This window comes from Homo sapiens, chromosome 20 (genome assembly GCF_000001405.40).
Source record: "Homo sapiens chromosome 20, GRCh38.p14 Primary Assembly".
Lineage (NCBI taxonomy): Eukaryota > Metazoa > Chordata > Mammalia > Primates > Hominidae > Homo > Homo sapiens.
Genome location: NC_000020.11, coordinates 57384090 through 57409545, shown reverse-complemented (window position 1 = coordinate 57409545; position 25456 = coordinate 57384090). Strand labels below are relative to the sequence as shown.

Genomic DNA, 25456 nt, shown 5'->3' with positions numbered 1-25456 from the left:
CACGGCGGCTGGGACGCCAGGCCTCCCCTGCATTAGCGGGTGTGAAGAGGGGCTGCGTCTGTTCTGCTACTGAGGCTCAGCGGCCGGTGCAGGCCAGGCGCTCTATGCACGGCTGCCAGTGAAATCCTGGGTTCCTGAGCCAGGAGGGCGGGGCATGGGTGATGCCCACAGGCACGAGGGGAGCTCTGCGTTTTGAGAAAAATTAGATCAACTTTTTCTTTAAAGAAAACAAGTTTTATTTTTATCATCAGAACATTCTAATAAAAATATTATGATGAGATTAGCTACCTTTATTCTCTGAGCCTTGACTCTGTCCCAGGCCTGCCCTGGAGCGCCTGCACGCTCAGCTCCCTGAGGTAGGTCCGGAGGGAGACCCCCCGCTGCCCCCCGCCCTCGGCCAGGATACCTCTCACCTCATGTCCCCTCCTCCAGACCCCCACAGCCCTGGATGCCCCATAGCAGCCCTGCCACGGCTGGCAGAACTGCCTCCACCCTCCACCAACCCCCAAGACAGGCAGGAACCGTCTCAGGCTGGCACACAGCAGGTGGTGCGGGGGTAGAGGGAAGAGGCGCACCCTTCTGCACTCAACCGCTCCAGCGGGCAGAGCTGAGGGCCACTGCCCCCCCCAGGCTGGCACCACCATGGTCTAGACCCCAAGTGGCCTGAATGCTGTGGATCACTTCCTTCTCCCCTTCCACAGTGTTTGGGGAGTTGGGGAGGAAGGGAAGGGAGAGGAGTGTCAACGTCGCAGTGACGGGGTCCTGAGACAACTCACTCTGCCACCCCGGCAGGCGGCAGCAGACAGTGGCCCGCACGGGCCTGAGGGGCCTCCTGTCTGTGGTGCCCATCCCACCGAGAGGATCCTGGCCCGCGAGCCGGCAGACACTTTATTATACAGAAACACTATCGTCGTCTCCACGGGCGGAACCAACAAAAGCAAGTCTCTCCAAGTCAAAAATAGGTTTTGGATTCTTGGTGGCGGCAGTATCCGCTGAAAAAATAGACTGAACTTCTGAAATTATCTTAGTAGCAAAACAATTACAAGAAAAAAGTTGCAACTTCAGTGCTATGACTGGAAAGGGGCCTTTGGCCGGCGGCCCCTGTTACCGGCGGCCCCTGTGCGCCTGGGAGCTCCTCCGGGCTTGAGGAAGCCGCCCACGTGCCCTGATGGAGAAAATGGGACTCCAACAGGAGGCCGTGTCCTCACACCTCAGACTGCGCTCACAGCTCGGGAGGATCAAGTTACAATAAACAGTCCATTAACTTCTTGCTTTCAGGTTTCCCTGGAGTCAGGCATCTCTGCACAGTCCAGGGCAGCCAGGGGCTGCAGAGGGTCTGTGACACCCCGCCACGATGCAGCAGTGGGGACACAAGCCTGAGGGAACCTGGAGTGTGGAGAGGCAGGAGAAGGTGCAAGGAGAGGCTGCCATGGTGTGCAAGGAACCTGGGATTGCGTCTTTAAATAGTTCTCAGTCATTCTTAAAGTCCTCCCTCAAGACACAATGGGACCTAGATTAAAGAGAAGCCGTCTCTCCGCTGTCCCAGGGCGCAGGCGGAATGCCCGAGCGGTCTTCGGAGGCACGGGTGCTGGTGGCACCTCACTGAAGCTCAGCCGGGCTGTCGCCAGCCCATCATGGCCTGGCAGCTCTGTCTGCTGTGAAGGTGACAATGCCACAGTCCTCGGGGCAGGAACGCCCCTCACTGCATCCTGTCAGGCTGCAGCTGCGGCGCCTGGTACTGCACGAAAGTGGTGCCCGCGGGTGCTGCGGCTGAGAGGGCCTGGGGCACGGCGGCAGGGTAGCTGTAGCCCACGAAGCTGGCAGCCGTGGCAGGCGAGGCGGCGTATGGGTACTGGTCATAGGTGGCCGGTGGGTACTGGGCGTAGGCCGGGCTGGCCGGCGTGTACTCAATGTAGGGCGAGGACAGCGACGGGACAGGGGCGGCTGGGATCACCACGCTGGGCTGCACGATGGCTGGTGGGTAGATGTAGTGCGGGGTCAGCCTGTGGGGCCAAGCAGAGCAGGTTAGGGCCAGAACGGAGTTGGGGAATACAGCTGGGAGAACAGTGGGGTACACGATGCGTGCCGCCCCCCACCCCGAGCCCCGACTTTCCTCATCGGTCAGATGGGCACAGAAACAGCACCTGGCCAGATGCTGCCGCCTCAAGGCCTTCGCACTGACTGTCTGCACTAACCACCAGGCTCCCTCCTCCACTCCATGTCTCCTTCTCAGCAAGGCCTTCCCAGACTGCACCCCCGCATCCCAGCCCTACACCCCACATCCCCGGAGCTGGTGCAAAAATAAAAATCTTGAATGGTTGTTTTCAAATGATTGAGAGTTTGAAGCCACGACGGCGGAGCATGCGATCAAGAGCAGGGCCCGGTACGAATGTCCTGGTTGCATGTCTGGGAGGCCAGCCCTGTCCCCCTTCCCTGCTCATCTCCCTGACACTCAACACCCACCAAGTGACACTGCACACTTGGCTCATGTACACGCCTGCTCTCCCAGCCAACACCTGCTCCTCACAGGGTTTGTTTTTTTTTTTTTTTTTGAGACAGAGTCTCGCTCTGTTCCCCAGGCTGGAGTGCAGTGGCGGGATCTCCGCTCACTGCAAGCTCCGCCACCCGGGTTCACGCCATTCTCCTGCCTCAGCCTCCTGAGTAGCTGGGACTACAGGTGCCCGCCACCACGCTCGGCTAATTTTTTTGTATTTTTAGTAGAGATGAGGTTTCACCGTGTTAGCCAGGATGGTCCCGATCTCCTGACCTCATGATCCGCCCACCTCGGCCTCCCAAAGTGCTGGGATTACAGGCGTGAGCCACCGTGCCCAGCCCTCACAGGGTTTCTTTCTGTCCCTGCCAGCATGGACTCTGGCCTGCAGCAGCTCCGTGAGGATGTGAGAGTGACTGCGTGAATGCTGGAGCAAAGGAGTGCAATGGCGGTGACCACAGAGATGATGGCGCCAACAGCTGCCATACTCGCCAGCGCCCACGCTGGGGGGAGACCCGTACTGTGACTGGGTGCGTCACCCCGTCGGCTTGGTCTTCCCATCATGAGGCCCATTTCACACACGGGGCCAGGTGAGTTGCCCAAGGTCCTACAGCTGATGAGGTGGAGGGGCCAGGAGTCAGCCGGCCTCAGAGCTGTGCTCTTAACCCTACCTGGGCAGGCCACTGTGGAAACGCATTGAGGCCAACACTTCCTGCCTGCTGTGGGCTGGCCATACAACAGCATGCCCAGCCCTCAGCACAGGGGGAAATGAGGCTCAGGGAGGCAGCTCTCCTGGCGTGTGCCTGCTCTGCCAACCAGCTGCTCGGTGGCCTGGGGCAAGCCGCTAAGCCTCAGTTTCCCGTCTGCAACAGAACAGCCACCTCCGCGGCATCAGAAGCTGCTGCAGAGTCCGAGGCACGGAGTGGTCTTCCAGGGCACGGCACTGTGCCCTGGGCATCAGTATCTCCTCTGCCTTGCACGCCTGCGTGTTACACAGGCCAGGCCCGCCTGGGGGGTGACTTGGAACCTCAGCTTCCTTCTGACCTGTAGGCAGGGGCCCCCCTCAAGGGAAGCAGCTCTGGAGAAAAAGTACAACATCCTTCCCTGCATTCTCCTGCGTTCGGCAGGGACAGAAACTGGGCAGCTTTCTGGAGCGCGGTTTGGCAACATGTGGGCACTGAAAACACAGTGCTCCCTCCCCAGAGCCAGGGACCCTCAGTGTCAGAGAGGAGCCCTGCGAGCTCCCTCCCCAGAGCCAGGGACCCTCAGGGTCAGAGAGGAGCCCTGCGAGCTCCCTCCCCAGAGCCAGGGACCCTCAGGGTCAGAGAGGAGCCCTGGCTTCCAGCACAAAGGCAGGTGCACTCAGTGGATCCTGCAGCCCTACAGCAACGGTGGAAACCAGGAAAACCTGGACGACAGGGCCTCTTGCTCCCCCCACCCCATCTGGGAAGTGTGTGGGAAGTTTCTACACTGCGTCACCCTCTCTACTACTGTTTACCTTCCAAGGTTGAGCCATCCTAGTGGCTGCTGTGGCCACACCTGCAGCCCACACGGCCAACCCTCCACAGCATCTGTCCAGAGGCCCAGGCAGCTCCTGCCAGGAACCCCGCAGTGGCGCCTCCTGTCCCTCTCCCCAGGTTAGAAGCCTCTGCTGTCCACCCTGCATCCTCCATGGGAACAAGGGCCTCGCGCGGAGCCAGGCCTGGGTTTGAATTCTGACTCTCGAGCTGTGACGCCTTTCTCACATATCTGCCAGGATGCAGAGAGGAGCAGACCACAGAGCCCCTGCCCTCGAGGGGCTTAGCTTCTAGGATGGGAGAGGCACCAAAATGCACCAACCCATAAACCAGAGTGGGGGGCTCAGGGGAAGTCAAGACAGCAGAGGGCTGTGATGTGTGGACAGCGATGGGGGAAAGGCCAGGGTGGCTTCTTGAAGGAGGGGATGCCTGCAGAGACCTAATGATGAGGCAGAGCTGGCCACAGGGGAGCAGCATGGCGGCACAAGGGCGGAGGCAGGCGCCAGTCTGAGTGTCTGAAGAGTGGATGAGGGCAGCCGGCAGCCTCTGTGCACAACCCTCTCGTGGCACCTCCACCATGGGGGCGGCCGGGTCTGCTGACCCCTGGCTTCCACTGCACACCCAGGTCCACCCTGGTGCCGGCCCATGCCCCACAGCGCCTCAATCCCTCGCATCCTCCCCACCTGGGCCTGGCACCTGCCAATGCCTCTGCCTGGAGCCCTTAACCTGGCGAGGCCCAACCCCACATGGAGGCCAGCCCCTCACCTCGCTACGCTGCCCGATGCCCCACTGGATGGCGTTCTGTCAGGGAGATGGCTCTGTCTGGACTCCCAGCTCTCTGCCAGGACCAGGCCTGTAGGAGGCACTGGGCACATGGTGCTGACGGAACAAAGGCCCGGTGGGTGGCACAGACCCCACTGAGAAGGATGAGGAGCTCTGGCCAGCGGAGGCAGGGGGCCCCAGAAGGGTCTCGGAGGCCTCCCTTGGGAAGGGGGCGAGTGGAGACACAGCAAGGACTGTCTTGGGGCTGTGCCCAGCAGGCTGTCCCTGGCATCATCAGTGCCCCCCCGACCCAGCTCTCAGAACCTCGAAAACATTCCTTAGTAGGAGGCTATGGAAGCTTTGAACCCACACACCTTCTCCAAACATGGGCAGTGATGCCCCTGCCTCAGACATCTCCCCGCAAGGTTTTGCTAAAAATGTGGATCCCATGCAGACTGCAAAGGCAGATGGGGCCCAGGAATGTGCAAGAACAGGCCCCGGGGTCCTGATCCACAGCTGCATTCAAGAACCGCTGCCCAGACCAGGGACACAGAACACAAGTGCCTGGGGCTGTGGGGCAGCTGGGTTCCGGCCACACTCACCTCGAGGGCTGCGTCATTTCTATCGGGTTCTGATGCCCCACATCATCGGGGCCAGAGCGCTGCCTTGGCCACCAAGGAGCTGCCCTACTCAGGGACACTCAAACACAAGCGTGGGTGAGCAATGTTTAGGCTGGGGAGGAAGGCGGGGCTCTCCTGTTTCCTGACCCTTGCAGACACTGCATGTCGGTATCTACTCATCTTTCTGTACGTAAAGGGCCTGGGATAACTTACGAAGCATTTTCAAAGCCACGGAAGGCTGGGCGCAGTGGCTCACGCCTGTAATCCCAGCACTTTGGAAGGCTGGGGCGGGCAGATCATGAGGTCAAGAGTTCAGGACCAGCCTAGCCAACATGGCGAAGCCCTATTTCTACTAAAAATACAAAAATTAGCCAGGTGTGGTGGCGGGAGCCTGTAATCCCAGTTACTCGGGAGGCTGAGGCAGGAGAATCGCTTGAAACCAGAAGGTGGAGGTTGTGGTGAGCTGAGATCATGCCACTGCACTCCAGCCTGGGCGAAAGAGCAAAACTCTGTCTCAAAAAAAAAAGCCATAGAAAAGATGCTAGTGTTAGCCCATCTCCCAGAGAGGAAATCCGAGGTTCAGAGAGGCCCCAAGCGACTTGCCCCATCGCAGAGCAAGGGACTGGTACAGTGGGGCCTGCTGCTGGTAGCTGTGCCTGCAAGGACTGGCTGGGGCCCCAGGTTCAGCTCAAAATAAAAGGAAGGCACAGCACGGGCCACACCTCAAGCCCCAAGGGGGAGTGAGAACACCGGCTGAAGTTAAGGTAGAAGCAGCCACGAAGCCCCGCCAGGCAGGAGCTGGGTTCCAGCAGCTTCTCTCCCTCCTAGGGTTGCGCCTCGCCCCTGCACTTGTCTGAGTTACCAAACAGGTTTCAAAACTTCCAAGGCGCAGTTTCCTCATCTGTAAGTTGGGTCCTACAGAGGCTGACCTCAAAAGCTTGCTGTGAGGCCTAGAGGTGCCACTAGAACAGCGATTCCCAACCAGGACAACTGTGCCCCCAGGGGACACTGGAAAATGCCTAGGGACGGTCCTAGTTGTCACAACTGACAACTAGGAATATGAGGTGCGGGTGGGGGTGCTGCTGACATTAGGGGTCGAGGCCAGGGGTGCTGACCGCTTCCTACAATGCTCAGGGTGCCCCCACAACAAAGAACGATGCCGTCCTAAAGGTCCGCAGTGCCAAGGCTGAGACGCCCGACTGTGGACCATCAGAAACCACATGGGGAAGGGGAAGGGCAAAGACAAGGGATCCTCACTGCTGCTCTGACCACAGGTGCCCACGCCGGGCGGCCACAAAGAAGGCAGGTGGGAGCAAAGAGAGACAGAGGGGCTCATGCAGCCACGCACGCATGGGCGAACCCACTGAGTGGTCAGGTGAGAAAGAAAAATGCAGCCAAACCACCGGCCCTGCACTGTCCAAGGGCGGCCCCGCCCCGGCCGCAGGCCCAAGGCTTCACTGCCTGGCAATGGGGAGCGGGTGCACGCACCAGGCAGGTTCCTCAGCATCCCCACTCACACGCCATGCTCAGAAAGCTCAGGTGCCACAGCCTCTGCACACAAGGGCACAGCCTGGTAGCTGCACGCCGCCCCACCCACCAAGTGTGTCCCCTGCACAGGCTCGCCTGCCAGGGCACGTGTCTGCCTGGCCCTGGTGGGACTCTCCTGCACTCTCCACCTCAGTGAAGAGCCCACCAGGCCACCCAGGCACTGCCCTGCCCACTCACCCCCACTGCAGCCTATGCCCACACCATCCAACAGGGAGCTCCCTGCTTCCATCCCTCAATTCTCCGATCCTCCCTCTCCTTCATCACCGACTCTCCAGGCGGGCGCAGTGGCGTGGCCCTGCCTTGGTGGTGGTGGAGACCTGCCTCCATCCCTGAATCCTTCACCCAGCAGCAGTTGGAGCTGTCTTAAAAACATCAAGACCCACGCCTGGAATCCCAGCACTTAGGGAGGCCGAGGCGGGCGGATCATGAGGTCAGGAGATTGAGACCATCCTGGCCAACACGGTGAAACCCCATCTCTACTAAAAATACAAAAATAGCTGGGCGTGGTGGTGCGTGCCTGTAATCCCAGCTACTCAGGAGGCCGAGGCAGGAGAATGGCTTGAACCCGGGAGGCGGAGGCTGCAGTGAGCTGAGATCAAGATACTGCACTCCAGCCTGGAGACAGAGCGAGACTCCGTTTCAAAAAACAAACAAACGAAAACATCAACACCCCATCACCTCCAGAAGCAGAACCCTCCAGCTGCCTCCCACTGTACCCAGAAGAAAACCCAAACTGCTCCCTTGTGGCTTCCTGCGTTATTAGGCCTCAACCTACCTCTTCTAACTCATCTCCACTTGCACTGCGCCCTCCCTGGCCACACTCCCACTGCCCTGGGCTCCTTCTGTTCCCAGATTCGACTCCTTCCCACCACAGGACCTTCGCACCTATGCACTTGCTTCTTCCCACAGCTCAAAGCTCACCCCTCAGGGGTCCACCCAGGCGGCTCTGTTTCCTTATGATCGGAAGCCCCTTCATCATCTACCTTGCACAATGTCTTCCCCACAAGAGCAGGGTCTCAGCTGCTGCGTCCCAAGTGCCCCAGCACAGCAGGTGCCCAGTGCTGAGCATCTGAGGCAGGCCCCGGCTTTGCAGGTAGCTGGGAGGCAAAAGAGCCCCCCCGTGGAATGGCCTCTGCTTCCCAGGCCAAGAGTCCCTGCCCCAAGAAGGCAGAGAAAGCAGTTCAGCCTTGAGCAGCCAGGGCTGGGCAGGCTGGAGGGACAGGCAGGCACGGCTCCACCCAGCAAGTCACAGCTAGACAGGCACAGCCCGCCAGCCTCTGCTCCCCGACCAGGTGCCTGGCGGCCCCGGGTGACCTCATCACTGCCTCTGGGGAACCACACGCCCCAGGGGGCTGCTGTGAGGATCTATTGCTTCTGTGCACCCCAGAGACTTCAGCAGCATCGACGCCTCCTTGGGCCTGAGGAATGCTGGGAGGGACAGAGGCCCTCCCTCTCCTAGGACTTTCAGCCCCAGGTCAGGGGGCAGCAGCCAAGAACCCTTGGTGAGCAAAACAGACCAGCGGCCAGGCGCAGTCAGGTAGGAGCCCAAAGGTCGGGGGACCCAATGCTCATCAGGGCTGCTCCTGTTTGGCCAGGGCCCACCGGCCTCTTTGGGCACACGGCACTTGCTCCCTCCTCTAGAAGCCACTTTGGAATCGGCCCTCTGTACGGCCGCTGCTGGAGTCCCACGCGCTCCCCAGGGTTGCAGAGCCACAGCCCAGCTGTAACCTCAAAGGAGAGGGCAGGAGCCTCCTTCCCTTCCAGTTTCCTTCCAAGTTCCGGCCTCAGAACAACCGGGCGTCTGTGCCTCCTCATCCTCTGCAGAAAACTTCTATCCTCCCACCAAGACCCCAGAGAAGGGTCTTGCACCAATCAGAGGCGGATCTGTTTACCAGAGAATTAATCCCACCACGTGTGCAAAGTCCAGGCAGAGCCAAGGAAGAAACCACAGGAATGGGTGGGACAGACCCCCCACATGCCACCCAAGCCCCACTGCAACGCTGGACACTGGGCACAGGCACCTAGCTGGGGTCCGGGGTGTCTGCGGAAGGATGACTCAGGGGTTCTCTGCTTCCCTCTAGTGCCGGAGCCTGGGCAACACCAAACCCCCAAATCACGGAGCCACTGAAACGGGCCACCATTAGGGCTGGAAAGGCCAGGCCATGCCGGGAGGGTTGGGCATGCAGGAGGAGCTGGCTCTGCCACAGCCCAGGAGAGGACAGGGGGACCCCGAGCCTGGTCCAGACTGGAAATCTGAGGTGCCTGCCTCCCTTCCCGTTCACACGTGGCCCAGGCAGCATTTGCACCCCAACACACCCAGGGTCAGCACACAGTCAAGAGCACCCCAGCTGACTCTGTCCACAGAGACTCAGGGGTCCAAGGGCAGGAAGAGCCCCAAGCCCGGATCCTGGCCATGCCTGTCCAAGTCGCATGGACCATCACTCAGCCCCTCCGGCCTCTGTTTCCCCATCTGTAAACTAAGGATGCTGCAGAGTCCAACAGATTGCCCCCAAGACAGAGGGCTTGGGCCTCCGGCAGAGTCTGAGAACCCCGTGGTGGGCGGGAGAGAGAAGTACAGATGGTGCTGGGGACACATGCTGCCCACACTCAAAGCAGAACTCGCAGCGAAAAGAACTGACCACGGCCCAGGAGGACTCATTTTCTGAACATAAAGTCGCCTCTGAAAATAAAAACGAAAAAGGCAAATGAGCCCATTTCACTTTCCCTGCTCTCCAGGGGCCTTGCCCCACCTCGGCAGAGACGGACCGCAGCTCTTAGGGTTCTGACTCCCGCCTGGCTGGGTGTGGGAAGGTCCCCGAGGCGCCTGGCAGGCAGGAAGCCAGGCCATGGCCCTGCCTCCCGGGAATCCCCAGTGACTTGTGAGGGGGAGGGCCGGGAGGTCTAGGGACATTCAAGTTCTGTGGGGCAGCCAGCCACAGGACACAGGTCGAACGCCCTCTCTGTGGGGCAATGCCAGGCCCGGAACAGCATCTCCACCTGAACCGGCCCAAACTCCAACTCCTGACCTTCTCCCCAAAACTGTACTGCACAGCTGCCTCCACCCCAGTCAGGGCCAAGCCCATCTCCCATTTCAAAGGCCCAAAGCTCCAGAATCTTCTTGGACTCCTCTTTCTTTCCCAGGTTCTTTAAAATAGACACCCAGAATCTCACTGTATCTCACCAGGGCCGCTGGTGCAGGCAGCACCCTCGTCTCATGCCTGGATTACTGGGCATCCTCTAAGGGCCTCCAACCACCACAATACCCTCGGCAGTCCAGGCTCAACCCAGCAGCCAGAAGCAAAAACACTCTGAAAACAAAAATGCAGACTGACCCATCCCTCCTCCGCTCGGAGCCTGCGTGGTCCGGTGTCACTTGGAGGAATGTAGCAGTGCCTCCCTGGGTCATCAAAGTCCTCTAGGAGCTGAGGCTACCCTGTCGGGCCCTGAGCCTCCCCGGCTGCTCCCTTCCCCTCCCCAGCTCCTGTCGCCTTCTGAGGCATGCTGACCTCCTTTGTCTCTGTCCTCCTCTCAGCACCTCGCTGCAGAAAGCACTGTGATTAGGAGCTGGGACCGGGTCTCCCCTCACCCCCATGGCAGGCATCCCCAGCCTGGCACAAAGCAAGCAAAGATCTGTCAGACAAGCTGACCCAGTGTCCAGCTCCCTACTCTATCCAAATGAGATCAGCAGGAAGGTCCTGATGCCCGCAAGCACACTGCAGAGTTATCAGCCTGTCCACCCTGGACACAAGGTGAAACTGAGGCTAAACGAGGAAAGCTCGAGCTTGGGCCTCCACTCAGTCTGTGATCAGGCTTCTACCCTGAGACAAAGCTGTGCCCCTTGGCCCAAGGCTTCCAGAAGAGGCTCCCCAAGCCCAGCAGCGAGCCAGGGTGAGAACTCATGCTCGGAGAAGAGCCCCCGCCACCCAAAGGCTGCTTTCTGTTTCAGCAGACAGGACAAACAACAGGTGCGGCACGGGCGCCCGCCCAGGAGGGCCACGGTGCAGCCCACGCCTGGCTCCAGATGAGCTGCCAAACAGGAAGCCTTGTGGGGGGGCAGGGGGGCGGCGGGGCCACCACGAGACACCCTGAGGGTGAAAACGTGACGCCACAGTGTTGGGGGGAGTCACTTCCTCCCAGCCCCCATGCCGCCTGGCTCTGACCTCAGCTTCTGCCCCTGCCCTGCGGTGCTCACCCTGTGCCCGCCACGGCGACCTGCAGCTGGCCTGTCACCCTGGGCCTGGGCTGCTCGCTCTTCCCCAGAAGCCAACAGGGCCCATTTCCGCCATCCTCAGTGGAGCCTTCCCCAGCACGCCCGCACACGTGTGCGTGCGTACACACACACACACACACACACACACGCCATCACCTGCAAACAGCTCCTCTGGCTTTGTTTCACTTTGTATTATAAAATAATAAAAGACTCCCAAGAAGTTGCAAAAACAGTACAGAGAGATCCTGTGTACCCTACCTCCTCCATCCCCCAAGGGCACATCAGAGTAACTAAGGACATGAGCAAAACCAGGACACTAACCCAGGCACACTGCTATGACCTGGACTGCAGGCCTTCAGCACGCTGCATCATCTTCTACACACACCAACATTCTTACATGTCATGTGTAGTTACACACAAACTGTGAAGCTTTATCACACACACAGACACATCTCCCCACCACTGTACTCGAGACGCGGAACTGTTCCGTCCCCACGCAGGCACTCATTCCGCCAGCTTCCTGTTTAACTGCACGCATCACCATGTGGGCCCACGAGTGCACAAACAGAATGTGAGCACGAGATCGGGGACCGTGTCTTTCTTATTCAAAGGATCCCTGGCACCAGGTCTGGCATACAGCAAGCACTCAATAAACACCTGATGAATGAATGATGCTGGGAGTAGCTGTCGACATTCTCCCCAGCTTGTGCATCCCATGCTCTCAAGGAGACAGACATCTTCCCATCACTGCCTCCCCAGTACGTCCTCTTGCTCTGGGGACCCAGGTGCTCTGTCCAGGCCCCGTGGTGTGCACACACCAAGGCCCCGTGATGGTAAGGGCAGCCATCTACTACCCAGTGGGCACCAGAGACCTTCACACAAAGGACGTAGGGGTCCCTGAAACTATACATGCAGTGGGGCAGGCACATGCCTGGGAGAGGGTCTCACGGTCATCATCAGTCTCGAGGCCTTGTGCTCTGAATCATCCAAGAGCTGCCATCTAGCCAGAGGGAGGCGTTGAGTCCTTGTGGGAGGGACAAGAGTCTCGCAGCCCACAGCTCAGGCCCCACCATCCTGGGATGTGTGAACTCAGCAAGTCTCTCAGTTGCTCTAAGCCTCGGTTTTGCACAGGTAATCAATCAACAGACCCTGAAGCAGGGCCGGCAAGAGATGCGTCACTGACAAACCGTGACTTCCCAGGGCCAGGCCCTCCACACACAGTCAAGTTGGCCCTGTAGGGAAGGCAGTGTGACCGTTCTCACTCACAGATGGGGAGGAGCCTGCAGAGACAGGCTGGGCCTGGCCTTAAGCCCAGGCAGACCCCCAGGGCTCTTGCTCCTGGATACAGCCTGTACCTGACACTCCGGAGTCCGAGGAGCCTGTCTTCTCATCTCAGAGCCCCTGTGGTGGCCGTGTCCTGTCACCCAGTTGTGGCCAGTGAGACTTAAGTGGAAGCCTGTTGTGGCCTCTGTGAAAACTTCCATTTTTCTGCTAAAAAAGACAGAGGCAGTTCGTACTGGCCCTTATTGTCCTTTCTGCCCTGAACGTGGGTGGGATGTCTGGAGCCGTGGCAGTCATCTTGTGACCATGAGGCAAGGTCCAAGAGACTCACAGATACTGGTCCTCATGCCACTAAATCCAGGGGACATTTGGCAATGTCTGGAGACATTTTTGGTAGTCATGACTTGGGCGAGGCAATGCTACTGGCTTCTAGGGGTGGAGGCCAGGGATATTCCACCCCCTTCAAACGTTCTATAATGTACATATGAGGCACTCTGTGAACGGGAGTCAAGGCCACAGCCAGGCCCCCTTAACAGGCAGGGAGACCCGCACCCAGGGAAGCAGCTGGCCCTTCAAAAATAACCCAAGGAGAGGCTCTGGGTGCAGCTAGTCCCAGGACAAACCTCTGCTCCCGGTGCCCTCAGCCCAAGAATGGACAGACACCCCTTGACACAGGGCACCGTTCCAGGCCAGACTAAGCTCTGCCTGGACACAGACCCTCTCCAGACTGCTGCACCTCCCCTCCCACCGGCAGGTGACAGACACACTCAGCTGGCAGACACCCTTGGTGGGCCACGGCCACCGGCTCCTGCTGTGACTACCACGTGCTTGCCACTGCCGAGGAAGGCTCCTCCAAACCGCGGACAGTGGCCACATACAGTTAGGTCAGAAATGCACAGGTGAGTTAGGTCTCACAGAGCTTGTTCAACTTAAAAAAAGGAAAAGAGGCAAGGAAACTCCGGCAAATAGCATAAAGTGTAAAGTTCTTTGGTAAATCATTCTAAACTAACATTTAAGACCCAGCCAGGCGAAGAAGATTCCACAGGGTCTTGCCTAAAAGCAGAGCTGTGGGATCTTCAGAGTTGTCCAGGGCAAGGTATAAAAGGTCGGGGTCAGAAAGTCAAGGAAGAGTTCAGCCAGGCACGGAAGGGGTTAACTGGTGGACAACCCTCAGCTGCCTGGGCTCCTGGCTCCCACCTCCCTCCATGCCCTCAGCCAACAGCAAGTCGCTGCCAGCCCAAGGCCGACAAAACTGGCCGCTGAGTCAGGCCCGGCTGTGCTCCCGGGGCCTGATTGTTCACAAAGACAAAAGGGACGCTGACGGCCCAGCTCTCCAGCTCCGGCCCAGCTCTCCAGCTCCGTCAGCGGGCGGGGGCTGGGGGCAGACAGCTGACCCAGGCAGCCTGCCCCGCTGCCTCCCTGGAGCTGCACCCGGGAGCCTCCCCCTACCCACCTCAGTAAGGCCCAGGCAGGGGCAGGAGGCGGCGCGATTCTCAGAGGCTTGAGTTCAGATCTCCCAGGAAGCCAAGAGCGGATGGCCCCTCTGACACCGTCCCTGTTTGGGTCTCCACCCTTTGGCAACCAACAAATAGAGTCTGCGGCCTCTTCATCGTCACAAGTATTAAATGGCCAGCCAGCAGATTTAGTTACAAAACACCGTCGCCTGAAGTCGGGGGCACACAGTGGCAAACTCTGTGACCGATCCCAACTGCTTCTGGATGGGTGGTGTTCACAGGACTCCAGGACAGCAAGGGAAAGGTCGGGCCAGGGCCCTTCCCACCGTCCCCCACCAAGAAAGCATGCGTTCAGGCACCCACCACCTGTGTTCCAATCTCCTCCCGGACGTCTATTACCTCACGCCTCCCCACCCTGGCCCTGCCACCCGCCCCCAGGCCCAGACAGGTGGTTAGCCTTTCTCTGCCTCAGTTTCCCCATCTATAAAGTAAGAATGGTTTCAGTCCCATCCTCAGAGGCCTGCTATGAGGACAGGAGAGGACTTCTGAGGAGGCCAGAGCACCCAGCCCACATGCCTGTGCACTGTTTTAAGCAGTTAATGTTCCTGTTTTCCGGATGAGGATGCCACTGCCAAGACAGACCCAGCTGGTAAGGGGCAAAGTCAGGATTCGAACCCACCTCTGCAGGCCCCAGAGGCCAAGCACTGATGGGTATGGAGTCCCAGAGGTAGCTGTGTGGATCAGAGCGAGCCCAGACGCACGTGGGAAGGCCTTATCCCACTGTAAGCAGAAAAGAGCTGCAGGCACTGGAGGCACACACCCTCACCTCTGGGCAGCTGCTCCCGCCCAGTCCATGCCCCCAGGCGCCTGCTGTGGGCCTGGGGAATGGAGCCAAGGTTCTGGAAAACAAGGAACACCCTCTTCATGTGGCCTGAACCCCATAGGAAGAATCTCGGTGAAGGCATGAAGGCTACAGTGTCCCCAAACACCCTCTAAGACGACTCTAGACATCTACAAAACAGATTCCAGGACGAGACGGACAGGGCCGCCTGCTCCCACCACCCTACACGCTCCCTTCCCAGGAGGACAGAGGCACCCCGGCAGGAACCTGAGCTGCCCGGCCACTCGCACAGGCTAGAAGGGCCCCGGCCACCCTCCAGCACCCCTCAGCCAGCGGCTCCTCCCACTGCTACACTTGCACACATCCACCAATACACACGGAAGCCGGCAGGGAGCCCCCGAGTCACCCCAAGCGTTCCCAAAAAGTGGGCACAGCAACTTCTGCTGGGGCCTCTGACCCATTCACCTGGGAGCCAGGCCCCAGGGGACCCATTCACCTGGGAGCCAGGCTCAGCCGGGTTCCACAGGATCCTTGTCCACACTGCCCCAGTCAGGCAGGTTACTCCTCAAGCTGTGTCTCTCTCAATGGAATCTACGTGGTGCGCACATGCGTGAGCACACACACGTGATCAACTGGCATTAGGGATTTGGATTCAGAAAGTTCATGAAGTGCCAATGCCCTGAAAGGGGTGGTGGTCTCTGAGCTGCCTTCCCCTCCAACTCCAACCCCATCAATATGCCACGGCGCTAGGGCAGACAGCTTCCATCCATCATGGGGGTGGGGAGGCAGGCCGCAAGGCAGGACTCTTTGTATCCCTTAAGTGTGTGTGTCCCTCCCCAAGCAGCTGCCAGGACTTACTAGATGTTTTAAAAAAGGGCAGGGAGGTGGGAGGCGTTTTAGGATGGAGAAGAGTGGGCTGCGCTGCTTGTAAATGAGTCAGACTAGAAGCCCATAGGCCAGGCCACTCAGGCAGGTGGCCTCCACCCCAAACACATCGTATCTACAGCAACGTTCACAAACATCAGACCTTGGTAGCAATGACCTACTGCCACCACCTGCCCCAGCACTAGAACAGGTGAGAGGAGTGCCTGGGGAAGAACTCAGCCTGCCAGTCCCTAAGAGTCATCAGCAAACACTTCAAGAGGGCGTTACCTGCACCAGGCCCACCCTAGGCCCTCCATTCAGAGAACTCAGATGTGCTGTGACCACTCCCATTTTACGGGTGAGGAAACTGAGGCCACACACCTAGCGAAGGGAGCTGGGGTGTGTACCAAGGCAGGCAGGCTCCAAGGCTCACCATCCCCTAGGTGGTATGGCCTCTGCCAGGGATGGAGAAGTGCAATCTGCCTTCTCTTCACTCCCTTGGCTTAAACGCAATCAAATGTCTGAAAACTGTCATTTCCCCAGCCTTCCAGACCCAGGAAGCCCAAGGCCCTCTCCACTTCATCTCCACGGACTACCCACCCCAAGCCAGCCATGTCCACTCACCCGTAAGTCCGCTGGATCAAGGTGGGGTGCAGCTGCTGCACCCCAATGGCAAAGCCTAAAACGAGAGAACAATCAGGGACTTGGCCTTGCTGCACGAGCCACGTCTCAAGGGCTGCACACAGGGTGGCAGAATCCCACAAGCCACACACCTCTAGTCAAAAGGGATCATCCGCTTCCTCTCCCCTCCCAGGCCTCCCCCTTGTGAACCCCAAGGCACACCGCTGAAGTGTGGCAGTGAGTGACGCAGGTGTCAGCAGCCACTGGTGTCGGCACTCCCAACCTCCAGGCCCCATGGCCACTTCCTCCCTCCTGCGAGGACAGCTGGCAACTGGGGTGCAGTACCCTCCCTGCCCCCCGCCCCCTTCTTTGGGCCACACGCTGTGAGAAGGGGTCTAGATCCTCGAGGGGGGGATGGCTGCCCTGTGCCGGCTCTGCAGGCACATGATAGCCGACTGCCACTGCTGGGGCGAGGAGGGGGGGCCTCTTTCCACCCGACAGATACCGACACCCAATATAGAAACCGAGAAGAGCCAGGCAGGAAAACACAAGCTCTCACCCGTCTGGAGGCTCCGCGGCTTGGCGCCCAGATATGCCAGGTTCACGTTGGCCTTGCGGCCGTCGATGATGGGGTTCGGGTCTTTGCAAGCCCTCTCAGCTGCCGCCCGGTCGGCCATGGTCACCTGGTGGAGCAGAGACACATCAGGGGCTGCCGTGGGGGGAACCAGGGGCGAAAGGGGCAGACGGCTCCGCCCTGGCACCGGATGCTGCCACCCCTCTCTTCCCTTCCTCTGAGGGTGCCTGTGACCCAGGGTCCTTGAGCCAAAGCTCCTCTGAACCCTACCTGGGGCTCTCCCACAAAGATGCCTCCTGGATTCCAGCTCCTCCCGTCAAAGTTCAAGGCCTGGGAAATGTGGCCTTCAAGGACAAAAATAATCCCCTGCGGGGATAGGGCAAAAATGAACCCCGAAGGGAGCTTGGGGGGCCGCCTGGACTTGCCCACCAGTGAGGGCCGAGACTTTCCTCTGAGAAGGAGTTTGCGACGCTATGCTTGGAAGGTAAGCAGGAAAGTGTCTTCAAGACGTTTTTACTTAAGCTGATGTTTATTTGGGGCGGCTGAGAGGGCTGTTAAAAATATGGGGGAGGCCGAAGAGCTCCTAACACCCCGGGGTGGAGCCATTGCTCCTCACCCCCCGCTGCTCCAGGAAATCCCGAGTGCCCTCTGGCTCCAAAACCTCCCCACCAACTTAGGAGTCCTAATTGAACACAGCGGCTCTTCCTTTTAAACCGGGGGTGGGGGTGGGGGTGGGGGTGGGGGTGGGGGCCGGGGCCTGGGGTGGTGGGGGCGGGACCGGCAGGAGCGCGCCCGGGAGAGGCGGCAGGTGCGGGCGCCGGCTGGAGGCGCCTGGGGCGGGGGCGGCAGCGGGCCGTCTGGGCGTGTGCCCCGGAGTGGACTCGGCGCCCGGGCCGCGATAAGGTGTGCGGCGGGGTGCGGGCCCGGGCGCGGGGGCCACTTACGAAGCCGTAGCCGCGGGACTTGCCCGTCTGGCGGTCGGTGATGACCACGGCCTCCTCGATGTCGCCGAAGCCCTCGAAGTACTTCCTGAGCGAGGCGTCGGTAGTGTGGTACGGCAGGCCGCCCACGAAGATCTTGGTGAACGTGGTGTCCTTCTGCGAGCCGTGCATGGCGCCGGGGGCGGCCAGGGGCCGCGGGAAGCCCGCGCTCGGGGCGCACGGCGCGGGCTGCAGCAGCATGGGGGGCGCCCCGCCGCCTACGGACCCGGGCCGCGCGGGGCTGCGCTCATGGGGGGCGGCGGGGAGCGCGCGGGGCAGCGAGGGGCGCCCGTCCAGCCGCCAGGCCCGACCACTCCGGCGCCCGTCCCGCCGTGCGCGCCGACGTGCGCCGCGCTGCGCTCCCGACCGGCGCTGCGGGGACTCTGCGCCCCGGCACCGCCCCCGGGCTTTGTAGCCTGCCGCCCCCGCCAGCTCAGCCCCGCCCCCAGCCGGCCCCGCCCCGCCCCGGGCGCGCGGGGACCGCCGGGAAGCGTAGTTCTAACCCCGCCCAGCCGCACCCGGGCGCGCGGCGATTGGGGGGAGGGGGGAGGGGAGCGCACGCGGGCTGAGGGCGGATCCGGGCCTGGGGGCGCTGGGCGCGCCTTTCTCTCCTGGCTGCCCCCGCGGGCCCGGCCGGTTGCAGGCACTAAGCACAACCCTGAACTAGGGAGGCCAGGCCCCTTCCCTCGTGGAGCGCACCGTCTGGTGAATTAAACGTAAAAAACGTAAAAAAACGTAAACGGTTTTTAGCATCTTGTTAATTGAGTCGGTATTTAACCCAGGGCGACTTAGGGAAGAGCCACGTGCCATATTAAAAAAGGGAAATGATTTCTGTTTTATATGTAAGATTAGTTCATCCGACCGATATTTACTCTGGGCGCGAGGCTGCAGCGGAGCACAGATCATATTCCCTGGCCCCACGGAGCGTCCAGGACTGAGAATTCGGCTAGTAAACATACAGCATACGACCCCGGAGGGAGCTACACCACGGTGCCGCGATAGAAGCGGGTCCCGGGCGGTCTCAGAGGCCCCGCGGGAGATGAGGTGGGCAGAGGAAGCAGGTGTGGGCTCTTTCCAGCTCCACCCCGTTCTGGGCTGGTGTCAGGGACCCTTGGGGCGAGTAAGAGCAGACCCGGGTCCCTCATCCGGCCCCCAGCCATAGAAAGGCGGCGCATAGTGGGGCTCTGTGAGCTTCACACCAGGCAGGGCCAGCCACAGAATTTTCGGGGCCCAGTGCAAAATGCAAACGCGGGGCCCCTTATTCAAAAGCTAGGAATTTCAAGTTGGCAGCGGTTGAGCATGAAACTCAGCCCCGGGCTTTCCTGAGCGAAGGGAAGGGCCGTGTGACTGCACAGACCCCGGGATCCCGGACCTGCGGGTCACACCCTCCACCTCTGAAGCCGGGACTAGGGGCCTCAAGCCCGCCTCATCTCCAGCCCCCGCGGTTGGGACCTATGCAGCTGGGAAACAGCAGCTCTAATTGGGGTCACTCCCGGCCCCAGCCCTGCGGCCTCCTCTCAGCACAGGGCGACGCAGGTGGGGTCTGTGGGGACTGGGAGTGGCACTCCGTGGGCTGTGGGGGACCGCAAGGCCGGCGAGGAGTTCCCCTCGTTTCCTCCAGCACCGAGGAGTTCTCCGCGTTTCCTCCAGCCCTCTGCCCTGGCTGCCGGCGGGGAGGAGTCTGCCCGCCCCCTCCCCCACTCCACGGCCCACGCTCCACGCGGCAGCCTTGACCTCTGACCTCTCCCTCCCCCAGCTCCCGCTCTAGCCCTCTGCACAGTGGGGATGGGACCCCCGAGTCTTCCGGAAGCCTGGGCGTCCTTTCCTCCCTTCCCCCTTCGTTCCTCGTTCCTGGCGCTCCTGCCCCCGCTTGCGGCCCCCGTTGCCCTTCATCCCGCGTGGTTTCCTCTCCTTCCTTCGCGGAGTTTCCCACCTCCCCGGCCCTGTGTGTTCGCCTGCCTGGAGCCCCTCCCCTGCTATTTGGGCGCTGCGAGAACAGGGACCTGGGATGTTTTGCCCAAGCTGGAGGGCCTGGCAAGGAGAGGGCTCTGGGATATGTTTGTTGAGTGTATCCACGATGGAACAAGGTGGGGTGGGGGAAAGCTCTGGCCCAGCCGGAGGCCCTTCGAAGCGACTTTGAAAACTTTCATTTAAGTGTGACCTTCACTTGCCCCCTAGAGGCCGGGGGAGGCGGCCACTGCGCGGCCGCGTGCTTTTGCGCCAGCTGGATCCCTTCACCAGGCCTCGGTTTCCCCTTCAGTTTTTCCAAGGCTGTCCCCAGCCGTCGCGTTGCCTGGGCAGGCTGGAGCCGCGTCGGTGGCGTGGCCACGGGCTTCAGCCCGGAGGCGCCCGGGCTCCCGGCCTACAAGTCCCAGCGCCGCCCGGGCCCGCCTCGCCCGCGCCCCTCCCGGCACGACAGCCCCACAAAGGGGTGCGGCCGCTCGGCTGCTGCCGCGGGGGCCGGGCCCAGGCGGCAGGGCAGCCCCGGGGCCTCTGCCTGCCCGGAAGGGGGCGGGACAGGGCCGTGGAGGCTGGAGACGCGGTTGCCCAGGTGCGGGTCCAGTCGCACTCCTTCGCCCCCCGCCCCCGGGCCCCCTTGGGTATCTGGATCACCAATCCCTCCCCCCCTCCGGCGGCCCCATGTCTCCACGGGTCACCAGCTTCTGCCTGACAATCAGTCATTCACCCAAACACACACTTTTTTTTTTTTTTTTTTTGAGACAAGGTCTCTCCCTGTCGCTGGAGTGTAGCGATCATAGCTCATTGCAGCCTCGACCTCTCGGGCTCCAAGCCATCCTCCTACCTCAGCCTCCCAAGTAACTGGGATTACCGGTGCGTACTACGATGCCGGGATAATTTTATATTTTGTGTAGAGGCTGGTCTCGAACTCTTGGGATTAGGCAATCTTCCTGACTTGGCCTCCCAAATTGCTGGGATTACAGGCTGAGCCACTGCACCCAGCCTCAAACACACATTTATGTGCACCACTGCACTCCAGCCTGGGCGACAGAGCAAGACTCCGTCTCAAAAAAAAAAAAAAACTACAGTCTCATCAGCGCCACTACTTGACCTTGTTGTTGAACGCATTGATGAAGAAGACATTGCTTGTCTACATTGCTACATCACATATTTGTTTTTTAAATATTTTCATAGCCGTTTTTATTTGTTTTAATTAGAGATGGGGTCTCTCTATGTCGCCCAGGCTGATACAGAACTCCTGGGCTCAGTTGATCCTCTTGCCTCAGCCTCCTGAGTAGCTGGGACTTCAGGTGCATGCCAACACACCCAGCCTATATTTTAATGTGATTGTTTTCCTTTGCTAATCTAAGCATTTTATTTGTTATTATTATTTTTTATAAAGACAGGGTCTTGCTGTGTTGTCCGGGCTGGAGTGCAGTGGTGTGATCATAGCTCCCTGCAGTCTCAGCCTCCCGAGTAGCTGGAACCACAGGCATGCGCCCAGCTGATTTTTTAAATTTTTTTTTGTAGAGTCAAGGTCTCCCTTTATTGTCTAGGCTGGTCTCAAACTCCTAGCCTCAAGCAACCCTCCCACCTCCGCCTCCCAAAGCACCGGGATTACAAGTGTGAGCCACCGTGCCTGGCTGGTAAGCATTTTAAGTGTTTAATACTATTACCTTAGGTATCAGCTGACTGCCAAGGGTTCCATGGCCCACAAAGGGCCCCTGGAAAGGGAACACAGTTTTGTGAGACTAGGCTGGGAGCCAGGCTGGGCAGAGGTGACTTGGGTCCCTCAGGCCTCACTGGGGAGCGGGAGGGAGGACTGGCAACTGTGTGTGCTGGGTGAGAAAATGGAAATTGCAGGAGCTTGGAACGCAGAATTCCTGCTCAGTGTGAGGATGAGCCCAGCACTTTCTGTGTGTTATCTTAGTTCATCTCACAAAAGCCCTAGGAAGAGATGACTACGATGATGCCCATTATATAGCTGAGGAAACTGATGCTCAGAGAGGTCCTCTCCTGCCTCCCTCGCAAATGTGTGATGTGTGCAGGGCACAAATGCAGAACTGCCTGGCCTAGGCCTGCTCTCTGCTCCCAGCTGTGGCTCCAGCTGCCCTGCAGAGGAGGGAGAGTGAGTTTACCCTGATGAGGATGTGCAGAGAGGAGCAGGTGAGGCCGGCCACTGCGATCTGAAACAGCACAGCCCCATCCAGGCAGGGCTCTGGTTTGAGTCTTCAGGCCCCGCGCTCTTGGGCCTCCTCTTTTTGTTTGTCGTGTTGGTGTTTATATCAAGGCTCTTCGGGGACTCAGCTTTGGGCTGAGCTTGGTGCAGGTGGCCTGTACACCCCCAGCCTGCAGCCCAGCTCCTTTGAATCCATGGGAGCCCCAGGTTGCCATTTTCATCTGCCAGGTGCAGAGCAGTGAGCCTGGGAATCCCAGCACTTTGGGAGGCCGAAGCAGGTGGATCACCTAAGGTCAGGAGTTCGAGACCAGCCTGGCCGACATGGTGAAACCCCGTCTCCACTAAAAATACAAAATTAGCTGGGTGTGGTGGTGCGTGCCTGTAATCCCAGTTACTCGGGAGGCTGAGGCAGGAGAATCACTTGAACCTGGGAGGCAGAGGTTGTTGCAGTGAGCCGAGATTGCACCACTGCACTCCAGCCTGGGTGACAGAGTGAGACTCCATCTCAAAAAAAAAAAAAGTTTCCCCATACTACTGGGCACAGAGGCCAAAATGCACCAGCAGGCACTGGTACTGGGGAGAGGAAAGGTTCAGCCCCTCTCCAGGTGGCAATGACAGGCTCAGTCGATGCTGTCACAGGCCGCCCCAGCAGCATTGGTGGACAGCTCCTGGAGCAGCAGAGTGCACATGCCTCAGTTTCAGCTGCAAAGACAGAAAGACACTGGCCTGTGTGCATGGCCGAATCCTGGCCTCTGCATCCTAATCCCTGGAACCTGTAACATGGCACCCTACTTGGTGACAGGGACTCTGCAGATGTGACTAAGGATCTGGAGGTGAGGAGAGTATCGAGGGTCATCCAGAGGGACCCATTGAAATCACAAGAGTCTCCATCTGAGGACGGCTCCAGATTTGACTAAGGAACGGGAATAGATGTGAGCCCAGAACAGGAGGCTGGAGTGATGCGGTCACAAGCCAAGGGTTGCTGGCAGCCACCAGAGGCCAGGAGAAGCAAGAAATGGATCCTCCCTTCAGGCCTCCAGAAGGAACCAGCCTTGCTGCCACCTTGATTTTAGTCCCCTAATAGTCATTTTGGATGTCAGGCTTCCAGAACTATAAGAGGATTCACTTTTGTGGTTCTGAGCCACTAAGCATGTGGCCATTTGTTACTGCAACCTCGGGAAACAACACAGCTCACATTGAAAGCTGAGCCCTCATCCCCTAGGGAAAGGAGTGTAGTCCAAGTGGCAAACTGGGGGTGCAGAAGAATGAGAAAGTGGGGAAGAGCCTGCTACTCCCTGTCAATAACCAAATGACCTGATTGGTCTCCTGTGCCAAAAGTTGTTCGTTGCCCCAGGATCTTTCTCATGAAGAGGGAGGTGGCCTTGCTATACAGTGTGGACAGGTGTGTCTGCGAGGGCAGGGGCTGCATAGGGGGCCTAGGCAGGTGCTGGCGCCAGCCTGCATGATGGCACTTGCCCCTGGGCTCGGTGTCCCCTCATCCTTTGGCTTCAAGATGGTGATGAGAGGCTGGGTGCTGGTGGGTAATCCCAACACTTTGGGAAGCCAAGGCGGGTGGATCCCTTGAGGTCAGGAGTTCAAGACCAGCCTGGCCTCCATCTCTACAAAAATTGTTGGGCGTGGTGCCTGTAATCCCAGCTACTCAGGAGGCTGAGGCAGAAGCATCACTTGAACCCAAGAGGTGGAGGTTGCAGTGAGCTGAGATCACGCCACTGAGATCACGAGATCACACCACCGCACTCCAGCCTGGGTGACAGAGGGAGACTCCATCTCAAAAACAAACAAACAAACAAAATGGTGGTGATGAAAGCTCTAGGAAAAGGAAGTGCCACGAAGAACAAGAATTCTTGCGAGCTGAGCTGGGCGGCCGAGACGTCAGGTAAGAAGCTGGACAGCTGCAGGCAGCGCCTTGATCAAGCCAAGGAAAGCAGCCACTGCTGGCAGGAAACGTGGGGCACAAACGCCCCAACTCTCTCAGGGACGCTACTGCTTCTGGTTTTCTGGCACCTTGCAGGTTAGCAGGTGAAGGGAAGCCTGCAGCGAATCCCCGAGCTGTGAGCTGCACGTGGCGCTGGGGCAGCGAATCCCCGAGCTGTGAGCTGCACGTGGCGCTGGGGAAGGCTGAGTTTGTTTCTGCAGTGGCTGTGAGGGTGGCACAGGCCGGAGATCCTGCCCCCACCAGCGCCGCTACAAGACGCTCAACACTGCCTGCCCTGGGAGCCCGGTGCGCGGTGGCTGGTGCTGTGGATCCTGCAGACACCAGGTCATGCAGCCCAAATGCAAGTGGCCACTGCGGAAGACTGTAGTGGTCACCTTGAGCTGCTGTCACAAACTACCACAGGCCGGGAGACCGAGCGACAGAAGTTTATTCTCTTAGAGTTCTGAGGGCACAAGTCTGAGATCTGGATGTCTGCAGGGCTGGCTCCTTGCAAGGCCTTCTCTGTGGTGTGCGGACCTCGCCCTCTTCCTGTGTCTTCATGCGGCCCTTCCTCTGTCCTTGTCTGTGTCCAGATTTCCTGGTCTAGGATACCAGACCTATTGGACCAGGGCCCAGCCTAGTGACCTCATTTTATCTGAATTGACTGTTTAAAGACCATGTCTCCAAAATACAGTCCTAATCTGAGGTACTAGGAGTGAGGACTTCAACATATGAATCTGGAGGACGACAGCTCAGCCCATAACAAATATTAATACTGATTTTCCTTTTGTAGGCAACCGTCAGGTGCTAAGCAGAACCATGCTTGGGCCTTCCACACCAGTCAAGGTACTCTCACAGCAAAGCCCCACCGAAGGGGCCCACAGGTTGGATTCGAGGTACGTGAAGTCCCAAGAGATGACATGAAGCCCCAAATGGATGCCCTGGCTCCCCAGCACCAGAGGGAAACGCCCCCTCACCGAAGACAGTGGCAAGTGCCATGCTTCAAGTAACACAGGGAGCGGCCTCCAGTGCACCTGTTTTAGCAGCCAGTCCTGGAGGCAGAAAGATTTACAAGGGAGTGGAAAGGCTGGCAAACACAGGACACATGGAGATGCCCAAAGTCAGTGGGGGTCAGGGTTCAACCTGGAAATGCAGTCTTCTCAGCTGAGGAAGGCAGTGAGTCCTGGCCAGGAAGCCGGTCCAAGCCCCTGCCTCGTCCCCAGTTCACCTCGTGAAAGCTGATGAATGACCAATGCTTGCAGAGGGGTCTGGAGTAATGGCGGCACCGTATTAAGGGGCGATCAGGCTGTATCTTGACACTGGGATTCATAAGAGGAGGAAGAAACCTATCATGCTGACGGGTAGTGAAGAAGAGAAATGAAAGACAAAAGACACAAGAGAAGGCCAGGTGCAGTGGTTCACTCCTGTAATCCCAGCTACCTGGGAGGCTGAGACAGGAGAATCGCCTGAACCCGGGAGGCAGAGGGCGCACTGAGCTGAGATCACGCCACTGCAGTGCAGCCTGGACGACAGGGCGAGACTCAGTCTCAAAAAAAAAAAAAAAAAAAAAGACACCAGAGAGTGCTGCCGCCAGTGAGCTGACGGAATCCGCAGTGTGG

General features: G+C 59.3%; 1 protein-coding gene and 1 long non-coding RNA gene across 7 annotated transcripts, besides 15 other annotated features; one reads left to right on the top strand and one right to left on the bottom strand.

Moving 5' to 3' along the window:
• Positions 74 to 579: an enhancer, noted in NCBI's record as "H3K4me1 hESC enhancer chr20:55984023-55984528 (GRCh37/hg19 assembly coordinates)". NCBI's record gives its function as "activates a minimal SCP1, AML or CMV promoter by ChIP-STARR-seq in primed H9 embryonic stem cells {active_cell/tissue: H9 hESC(primed)}" and the evidence as "EXISTENCE:reporter gene assay evidence [ECO:0000049][PMID:30033119]".
• On the bottom strand, positions 213 to 18150 carry RBM38 (RNA binding motif protein 38). Of its 6 annotated transcripts, XM_011528885.4 has the most exons (6): positions 17728 to 18150; positions 17054 to 17149; positions 16769 to 16892; positions 16213 to 16267; positions 12504 to 12639; positions 213 to 2003 (listed from the first exon to the last, which is right to left on the bottom strand). In XM_011528885.4, the coding sequence occupies exons 1-6, from the start codon at positions 17962 to 17964 to the stop codon at positions 1908 to 1910; spliced, it is 744 nt and encodes a 247-aa protein (XP_011527187.1). In that variant the 5' UTR covers positions 17965 to 18150; the 3' UTR covers positions 213 to 1907. The 6 variants fall into 6 exon arrangements, with proteins under 6 accessions (XP_011527187.1, NP_001278709.1, XP_047296214.1 ...); NM_001291780.2 differs by lacking the exon at positions 12504 to 12639; XM_047440258.1 differs by lacking the exon at positions 17054 to 17149.
• Positions 8635 to 8734: an enhancer, noted in NCBI's record as "active region_18148". NCBI's record gives its function as "activates an Ori minimal core promoter by ATAC-STARR-seq in GM12878 lymphoblastoid cells {active_cell/tissue: GM12878}" and the evidence as "EXISTENCE:reporter gene assay evidence [ECO:0000049][PMID:35858748]".
• Positions 8717 to 9580: an enhancer, noted in NCBI's record as "H3K4me1 hESC enhancer chr20:55975022-55975885 (GRCh37/hg19 assembly coordinates)". NCBI's record gives its function as "activates a minimal SCP1, AML or CMV promoter by ChIP-STARR-seq in primed H9 embryonic stem cells {active_cell/tissue: H9 hESC(primed)}" and the evidence as "EXISTENCE:reporter gene assay evidence [ECO:0000049][PMID:30033119]".
• Positions 10555 to 10644: an enhancer, noted in NCBI's record as "active region_18147". NCBI's record gives its function as "activates an Ori minimal core promoter by ATAC-STARR-seq in GM12878 lymphoblastoid cells {active_cell/tissue: GM12878}" and the evidence as "EXISTENCE:reporter gene assay evidence [ECO:0000049][PMID:35858748]".
• Positions 10555 to 11121: a biological region, named in NCBI's record as "H3K4me1 hESC enhancer GRCh37_chr20:55973481-55973980".
• Positions 10622 to 11121: an enhancer, noted in NCBI's record as "H3K4me1 hESC enhancer chr20:55973481-55973980 (GRCh37/hg19 assembly coordinates)". NCBI's record gives its function as "activates a minimal SCP1, AML or CMV promoter by ChIP-STARR-seq in naive H9 embryonic stem cells {active_cell/tissue: H9 hESC(naive)}" and the evidence as "EXISTENCE:reporter gene assay evidence [ECO:0000049][PMID:30033119]".
• Positions 10895 to 11014: a silencer, noted in NCBI's record as "silent region_13062". NCBI's record gives its function as "represses an Ori minimal core promoter by ATAC-STARR-seq in GM12878 lymphoblastoid cells {active_cell/tissue: GM12878}" and the evidence as "EXISTENCE:reporter gene assay evidence [ECO:0000049][PMID:35858748]".
• Positions 12697 to 13658: an enhancer, noted in NCBI's record as "H3K4me1 hESC enhancer chr20:55970944-55971905 (GRCh37/hg19 assembly coordinates)". NCBI's record gives its function as "activates a minimal SCP1, AML or CMV promoter by ChIP-STARR-seq in primed H9 embryonic stem cells {active_cell/tissue: H9 hESC(primed)}" and the evidence as "EXISTENCE:reporter gene assay evidence [ECO:0000049][PMID:30033119]".
• Positions 16488 to 16677: an enhancer, noted in NCBI's record as "active region_18146". NCBI's record gives its function as "activates an Ori minimal core promoter by ATAC-STARR-seq in GM12878 lymphoblastoid cells {active_cell/tissue: GM12878}" and the evidence as "EXISTENCE:reporter gene assay evidence [ECO:0000049][PMID:35858748]".
• Positions 16490 to 25386, top strand: RBM38-AS1 (RBM38 antisense RNA 1). The gene is made up of 2 exons (NR_149006.1): positions 16490 to 17267; positions 24631 to 25386. It is a non-coding gene; the product is annotated as an RBM38 antisense RNA 1 (long non-coding RNA).
• Positions 17432 to 17931: an enhancer, noted in NCBI's record as "H3K27ac hESC enhancer chr20:55966671-55967170 (GRCh37/hg19 assembly coordinates)". NCBI's record gives its function as "activates a minimal SCP1, AML or CMV promoter by ChIP-STARR-seq in primed H9 embryonic stem cells {active_cell/tissue: H9 hESC(primed)}" and the evidence as "EXISTENCE:reporter gene assay evidence [ECO:0000049][PMID:30033119]".
• Positions 17528 to 17717: a silencer, noted in NCBI's record as "silent region_13061". NCBI's record gives its function as "represses an Ori minimal core promoter by ATAC-STARR-seq in GM12878 lymphoblastoid cells {active_cell/tissue: GM12878}" and the evidence as "EXISTENCE:reporter gene assay evidence [ECO:0000049][PMID:35858748]".
• Positions 17932 to 18433: an enhancer, noted in NCBI's record as "H3K27ac hESC enhancer chr20:55966169-55966670 (GRCh37/hg19 assembly coordinates)". NCBI's record gives its function as "activates a minimal SCP1, AML or CMV promoter by ChIP-STARR-seq in primed H9 embryonic stem cells {active_cell/tissue: H9 hESC(primed)}" and the evidence as "EXISTENCE:reporter gene assay evidence [ECO:0000049][PMID:30033119]".
• Positions 17932 to 18467: a biological region, named in NCBI's record as "H3K27ac hESC enhancer GRCh37_chr20:55966169-55966670".
• Positions 18068 to 18467: a silencer, noted in NCBI's record as "silent region_13060". NCBI's record gives its function as "represses an Ori minimal core promoter by ATAC-STARR-seq in GM12878 lymphoblastoid cells {active_cell/tissue: GM12878}" and the evidence as "EXISTENCE:reporter gene assay evidence [ECO:0000049][PMID:35858748]".
• Positions 20078 to 20457: a silencer, noted in NCBI's record as "silent region_13059". NCBI's record gives its function as "represses an Ori minimal core promoter by ATAC-STARR-seq in GM12878 lymphoblastoid cells {active_cell/tissue: GM12878}" and the evidence as "EXISTENCE:reporter gene assay evidence [ECO:0000049][PMID:35858748]".
• Positions 25387 to 25456: the final 70 nt, after the last annotated feature.